This window comes from Homo sapiens, chromosome 20 (assembly GCF_000001405.40).
Source record: "Homo sapiens chromosome 20, GRCh38.p14 Primary Assembly".
Taxonomy (NCBI): domain Eukaryota; kingdom Metazoa; phylum Chordata; class Mammalia; order Primates; family Hominidae; genus Homo; species Homo sapiens.
Window position 1 is genome coordinate 57,906,997 of NC_000020.11, and position 5,949 is coordinate 57,912,945.

Consider the following 5,949-nt stretch of genomic DNA (forward strand, 5'->3'; position numbering starts at 1 on the left):
GGCATGGTGGCAGATGCCTGTAATCCCAGCTACTTGGGTGGCTGGGGCAGAAGAATCACTTGAATCTGGGAGGTGGAGTTTGCAGTGAGCCAAGACCGCGCCATTGCACTCCAGCCTGGGCGACAAGAGGGAAACTCCCTTCTCAAAAAAAAAAAATTTATAATCTTTGAGCCCCCCAGAACCTGCATCCACCCCACTCCTTCCCCAATCATAGAACTAAAAGAGCTCACATGATAGGAGGCATTTATGGTGTCCTCTCCGGCCACAGTGTCACGCGGGCTTGATTGCCACACCTTCCGTGGCTCGCCTTGCTCGAGTGAGTGTGACCTGCCTTCACCTGTGGTCTCTGTCTACCAGGCCATGTCCGCCATGTCCCCATCACTGTTGGGGACCTAGTCATAATCCAGTGGTTTCCAGCCTCTTGGAGAATCTTCCTTTTCCCTCTGATAACTGAGAGGTGAGAAAAGCTGGCCCATAGTCCCGGGGAGGGCAGTGGGGCTGAGGCAGAACCTAAATGACATGACATCTTCATTATTTGGGGCCTGCCCTTTGGCCTCCACTCCCGGTCCCACCGCCCACAAGGAGCTGTGGGATCTGAGCTAATTGGCTCCGTCACTGGCCTGAATCCCCCTCTGTCTCCCAAGCCCCTGGGCCTCTGTCGCTCACTGAATCAGGGAACGGGGCTTATCTTTAAAGAACAGATGGGGAAGTTCTCATTTTTTATTAAAGCCATCCAGTCTGCATAGGAAAGTAATCTGCTGGCAGCTGCGAGAATCGCTATTTTAAATACATTTGCATAGCGCCTCAGCTGCCCAGTGGGGCTGGGTTTGCTTTTCCCGCCCCCGGTCTCCTATCTTGGAACAAGGCCAAGTGCGGTGTCCTGCAAGTAGCCAGGGCAGCCTCCTTTACTGCAGTGGGAATGGTGGGGGAGCTAGACTCTGGGTGCATGGAGGGGACAGAGAGCCAGCCACCCCTGTCTTTGCCCATGTTTCTTGGCCTGCCGTTGTCAGTGTTCCCCTGGCATGAACACCAGGACCCCCAGGGCCAGTACGGGCACTTATAGATGCTCAATGTCAGCTGGATGGAATCTTGGGAGCTTGGGGAAAATCAGTGCTTCCTTTTCAAGCCCCTCTCCTCGTCCACTGCTTATCCAAGGACTGTCTGTGTTCTCATTCATTCATTCACTTATTCATTCATTCCTTATTTCTACAAGCCACCTTTGAACACCACCATTTCAGGTGCTATTCTGGATGGGGATGGTGCAGTGAAGAGATGAACAAGGTTCCCGCCCTGCAGGAGCTCACCTTCTGGTGTGGAGGAAGCAGGAGAGGTGGCAGACAGGAGCACGCGCAGAGAGAAGGCCATCTCAGAGAGGCCTGAGGGCAGCAGGGCTGGACGGCGGGCAAAACCTCAGCTGCTGGGCTCAGGGGGCGAGGATCGAAGTTAGAGTGGTCCTCACTGATGAAGGACACATGCGCCTGAGATGTGAAGGGGCTTCTGCAGATCAAGGGACCCCAAGGTCCTGTTGTCTTCAAATAAGAGGCCTGCCCTGCCCTCTAGGCCAGCGGTTCTCACTCAGCACATCTGGAGACATTTCAGTTGTCACCACTTGGAGGGGAGATGCTACTGGCATTCAGTGGGGAGAAGCCAGGGAAGCTGCTAAAACGCCCTGCAGTGCAGCAGGCAACCCCCCACAACAGAAAATTACTGGGCTCAGATGTCCACAGTGCCAAGGTTTGGAAAACCCACTCCAGTGGAAAGATGAATGTACCAGAATGTTCCAGAAACACAGATGCAATTCATATCACCTGGAGACTGTCTGGCTTTGTGACCAGGGTAAGCCACTTGCCTGCCAAGGACCTGCCCCCTTCCTCCACCTATGAGACAGGCTAACTCCCCCACAGCTTTCTACCCGGGTAGTGTTTCCAGGGCAAACAAGGCACAGAGCTCTTACAGGAAAGAGGCTTCATAAATAAAGGCTCAGTCTTATTTCACTGCCTAAAAAATCCATGGAGGAAAAAAAAATCACCTTAGGCCTGAGGCTGAAAGAGCTGCCTCATTTCTTTCTGGAAATAATCTTCTCTTAAACCCCAGCCAGGCAGCTGGGCTCTAAGCATCCTGCCCTTCAAGGTCAGATTGGTTTGAACGTGACTGTGTCTCTTCTTCAAAGCGTTGGTTCCTGGAGCGCTGGGCCTTTTCCCGAGGCTCTCAGAACAACGAGGGCGATTCAGGGGATACCTGGACAGGTAACCGCCTTGGAAGAGCGCTGGTTTTCTGCTCTCAAAAGGATCTGAAAAGGCTCCTGTCGGGCATCTCTCCCTAATTTATTTGGCAGTTTCCCCCTGGCTTGCTAGGTTATTATCTGAAGGACGTTCTTGAAAGCTCAAGACAATAATGAGTCTCCCAGCCAACCCTCACGTTTGCTAACCCAGTGCTCAAGGGCTATTGGCCTCCTGCGAGGTGCAGCTCATGCCTGGAGAGACTGAAACTTTCATGCAACATAAGGAAATTATTAGAGCTCAAAGACTGTGGAACTCTTTTGTCCCATCTGGAACACCCTATTGATATTCGTACATGTATAAATTATGTATTGGACAAGATCCTGTGCTCAATGGTGGCCCCAAGGATGAATGGAGGAAGAGAAATAAGCCATGCATTCACTTCCCCTTAACCCTTTGTTCCCTTGAGTGGTTGAGTGGACTTCCACCCGGGCAATGCCACCTGCATTCATGGCGCCCCTTTGGGGCAGGAAATGCCCACATTCTTTCCAGGGTTTCTGTTGAGAATTCCAATCCTCACCTTATTCACTGACTCCTGTATTCTCCCCCTATTTAGCCTTTGCATATTGGGAATGATTAAATGGGGAAAGGGCTCAGGGCTCTGTCGCTGGGATCAGAAGGCCTTGGCTTGAGTCTCACTCTGCCACTTGTTGGCTGTGTGTCCTGGGCAGGTTATCCACCTCTCTGGGCCTGAGTTAGATTGTCTGGGAAGTGAGTATACAATGGCACCTCCCTCATTGCAGTGCTGGTGTGACAGCCATGTGAGATGGAAATCTCTCCACACAGTCAGCACCTGGCACCTGGGAAGTGCAAAGTGGATGGAGGAGACCCTGAGTGTGAATATGAACAAAGGTGGTCCTGGCCCACAGCCAGGACTGAAGCCTGCTCTGGGCTACAAGGGGTTGCAAGGCTGGTGTCTCCAGGGCGAGGCTGGCAGAATTTGCCAAAGGGATGTGCCCAGCTAAGGGACAGCCAAACCGGCCTTGCGCCTGCTGAATGCAGACCCCAAATAGCCTTGCTTCTCAAAAAAGGGAAGGAAATTAGATTTTTTTGTGAAACTGACTTAGGAGGTCTTGGCCACAGTCCCTCAGTAGGGACTTAAAGGAGCCTCCAGGGTCAAAGCAGAGAGGAGGCCAGTAAGGTCTGGGGAGGGAGATGCCATGAGTGTGGACAAGGACGCTGACATGTGGCTCCTTGCAGTGGTTTTCACCACCCATTGGAAGACGGAACAGTTGTCAGATGTGTCATCTAGAAGCATGCTCTCTCCTTCTTGGGCAGTTAGGATTGGAGGATTCAGCCAGGGTTTCTCACCTTGGCTGAATGTTGGAATCACTTGGAAGTACTAAAATTCCCGATTCCTGAAACCCAGGGATTCTTACTGAATTGTTCTGTGATTGGTGGGAAGTTGCAGAGCTCCCGGATGATGCCAGAGGGTAGCCCAGGTGAGAGCCACTGACTTAAGGCAGGGCCATGGTGAGATGGCCTAGGGCTCAGCCTGATGCCTGGGAATAACAGAGAGGAGAACAGAGGATAATAACAAAATGACCACACAACAACACATGGTCATCGCTCATTCTGAGCTCAGTGTGCATTATCTCATTTAATTCCATACCAGTTTTATGAGAAAGATTCAGTTAATATCCCCATTTCACAGATGGGGAAACTGAGGTGTGGCTTATGTAACTTGCCCAAGGCCCATGGTAAGCAGCAGACTCAGAATCTAAAACCAGGCTATCTGGCAAGTTCTACAAAGCCCTGGAAACTTGAGGAGAGGGAGAGGTAGAGGATTCTTGGAACTATTGCCTGAAGAATGGAGATGCTGAAGTGTGAACTGTTGGTTCTCCCTTCCTCCGTGAACTCCATTGAAAACCTGGACTCTGATAGCACCTGAAAGGCTGGGTATGTCTTGTCTTTCTTTCCATGCATTCTTTCCCAAACAGGGGATGCTCAGGAGATATTTGTTAAATAGACAAGGGAAGGTGGAGAGAGAAGAAGAGGAAGGAAGGAAGGAAGGAAGGAAGGAAGGAAGGAAGGAAGGAAGGAAGGAAGGAAGGAAGGAAGGAAGGAGACAAGAAGGATTTAGGGTCATCTTATTTTTATTATTTCTAGATAGTGAAATATGACTGCTAAGTACCCATGAGTTTGTTGGGAGTTTTTTTTTGTCGTTATTTTTTAAAAGTTTTTTTATTGATACATAATAATGATACATATTTATTGGGTATATGTGATATTTTGATACATACATGAATCACAGAACACACGGGTAGGCAACTAGTTCTATGAAGCGGGTTTATAACTCACAGATGGGCAGGGAGGGGCCACAGAGCCTGGGATTCATCGTGAGTCAGGACTCACGATGCTCAGAAGCTACCCAGGCTCAGAAAGCTACCCAGGGAAGACGGAGTCTCGACTGTGCATGCCCCATTTGCTCTGCAGGAGAGAGACCCAGAAAGCAGCCTGCCCTTGGTTTTATACCCTGGGGGAAATGTGACCCACTGAGCTACAGCAATGAAGGACATCCCATTTCTAGGGGTAATCTGGAACCGAGCCTGGGCTGCTCTGGCCAGCTCCTCCCTCTCTCAGGATATTGCAGTCCTAGAACATTCTACAGTTATTCTTGAGAACGACAAGTGAGAAGAAGTGGAAAACTGGGTGTCTCCAAGGCCAACCAGAGAACTGTCCTGTTACCACTAGTGACCTAACATTCAGAAGGTGCTAACTTTATGTGGCATTTTACCGTGGGCATGAAAGGAGACCCCGTGCGGCACATACCACACTCACTGTGGGTACTCTCACTAGGACCCCGCACTTTTCCGTGGTACCCTCTGGTCCACAGAAGCTCTGTCAGCAGGCCCATCAAAATATGCAAGAGCAGCAGCACCAGTCTACAGACAAGGGAATACATGGTCCTGGGCTGGGAGGATGGAGATTCGAAATGTATTCCAGAGAGGCATTTCATTTCAGTTGGCTGATGAATTGATAACCATGAATACTTTATGTCTCTCTCTGGGCTGTGTAGAAAGCATGCCATGCCTGGACTAGACGGTGAAGCTGAACTGAGGATCCAAGCGGCCTGGGAGGCAGAGCTCCAACCTCTCCCACCCACTTCCTCCCTCTCCCAAGGCTCGGGCTGGTTCCTGGCACCATCTGCTTCCAAGGGTCACGGCACTTTGAAATCATAAAAGGCCAGAAAAACAAGTGATCCGCTTAGTTGGGGCCTTAGTGTTGGTGGCTGGATTTAGAAATAGCCTTCCCCGGTGTCCTGGACTAGAAAGGAGTGGTCCCCAAGTGAAGGGCAACAGAAAAGGACAGAAACCCAGAAAGAGCCTGAAGACTCTGGAGGAGAAACTGAGGCCCAGGGAGCACTGGAGCTTACCCAAGCTCACTCAGGAAGCCAGGGCAAGGCTGGGCATCGCCCACGTCTCCTGACGGCATTATCCCTTGACCTCATTCATTCACTCATTCGCCCATTCAGCATGGTAACAGTATAGCCAAGGGATTGAAAGGCATAGATTCTGGAGCCAATCTGCCTGGATGTGATTCCGGGTCCGCTGCCTCCTGGCTGTGCGTCCTTGGGCAAGTTAACCTCTCTGTCCCAGTTTCCTTGTCAGTAAAATGTGCATAAAAAATAGCCCTCCACAGACTTGTAAAGAGTCAATGAGACAATGTA